Genomic DNA, 1926 nt, shown 5'->3' with positions numbered 1-1926 from the left:
TACATACCTCCCAGCTGGGCTGGCTTCATGAGGGATGACCTGGGTAGTGCTCCAAAGGACCCTGTGCTCATGGGGGATGCTCCAAAGGACTCTGCACTCGGTTTCATGGAGGATGACCTGGGTAGTGCTCCAAAGGACTCTGCATTCAGTTTAATGCCCTGCTGTCACCCTCTTGAAATTCTTAAACATTTTGGAACAAGGGCTCCTCCATTTTTATTTTGCACTGGGCAGGCCTTCAAATTATGTAGCCGGTCCTAGTGCCCCAATAGAAATAGAGAAATATATAGAAATATACAGAACCTAAATTTCACCATCGTGAGCACTTTAAGTGTACAGTTCAAGGACTTTAAGTTCCTTACAATTATTGCACAACCATCACCCCCATCCCTCTCCAGAAAACGTTTTCATCTTCCCTAACTGAAGCTCTGTACCCATTAAACACTAACTCCTCTTTCCCCACCACCTCCAGCCTGTGGGAACCACTGTTTACTTTGCTTCTGAATTTGACTCTTCTAGATACCCCATATAAATGGAATCACACAGTATTTGTCCTTTTGTGTCTGGTTTATTTCACTCTGCACAATGTCCTCAAAGTTCATTTTGTTATTGTATGTGTCAGAATTTCCCTCCTTCTAAAGCCTGAATAACACTATTGTATGAATATACCTCATTTTGTTCCTCCATTTGTCTTGATAAGACATTTGGCTATTGTAAATAATGCTGTTATAAAGATGGGTGTACAACCACCTCTTTGAGACCCTGCTTTGAGTTATTTTGAGTATATACCCAGAAATAGAATTTATGGATCATATGGGAATTCTATGTTTAATTTTTTGAGGAACCACCATGCCATTTTCTGCCGTGGCTGCCCCATTCTACACTTCTGCTACATTTCCATTACATTTGTGCTTTGAGGGAACCCCCAAAGCAAAAGAGTTCCAGTTTCTCCATATCCTCACCAGACACTTGTTAGTTTCTGTTTTTTGTTTTTTTTTTAATTGATTCTAAGGGGTGTGGTCTCTCATTGTAGTTTGATTTGCATTTCCCTAATGACTAGTGATGTTGAGCATCTTTTCATGTGGTTTTTAAGTATCATTTGTTTATATTCTTTGGAGAAATGCCTATTTTGAATCTTTTGCCCACTTTTTTGATTGGGTCATTTGTATTTTCATTGGTGAATTGTAGGAATTCTCAAGGTATTTTGGATATGAATCCCTCATGAGATAAATGATTAAAATATGCATTGCTTGAGGGTAGGAACCTACCTTAAGGTTCTTTTTATTCCCCTCAAGCACTTGCTGCATGGCCTATGATCAAGGAATGCGCTCCATGAAGTCTGCAAGGCATGGTAGGTCGGAGGCAAGTTGAAACGAGGTTTGAAAAAAGGGACATGAAAAGCATTTTCTAGGCAAGTCCAAGACTGGGTACCCTAGGAGGGAAGCCTCCTGGGGTAATCAGTGAGCCTCCTGCTCCCAAAGAATAATCTTGGAGGTGCAGAAGAGGAGACAGGGAGGGAATCAATTCTTGGTCTTTATTAAGAAGAAGGTGAGAAGAGTCCCATTCCCCAAACACCCCCGAAATAGACATGCTGCTGGTCAGGCTATGGGAGGGCTGATGTCCAGGCAGACCCTGCTAGAAGAGGGCAGCTCCAGGGGAGTGGGCTCTCACCTGAGCACCTGAGAGACCCTCAAGGGTGAGAGAAATCAGAGCAGGGTGCACACCACCCCTGTGCTCCAACATTTGCCAAGGAGCTCCCTTCTGAAGAGGGCTGGATAGGGAACCCCCAAGGCTACAGACCCTGCAAATTTTACTTTCACACCCAGGTGGAATCTGTGAGTGACTGAACCCCTGACCTTCTAGACAAACATATCAGGGCTCTTCTTTCTCCTGGAAAAACAGGATGTGGTGATTGCAGGATGGGGTGCC

The sequence above is a fragment of the Homo sapiens genome, chromosome 8 (assembly GCF_000001405.40).
Source record: "Homo sapiens chromosome 8, GRCh38.p14 Primary Assembly".
NCBI classification, from domain to species: domain Eukaryota; kingdom Metazoa; phylum Chordata; class Mammalia; order Primates; family Hominidae; genus Homo; species Homo sapiens.
This window is presented reverse-complemented; position numbering follows the sequence as displayed.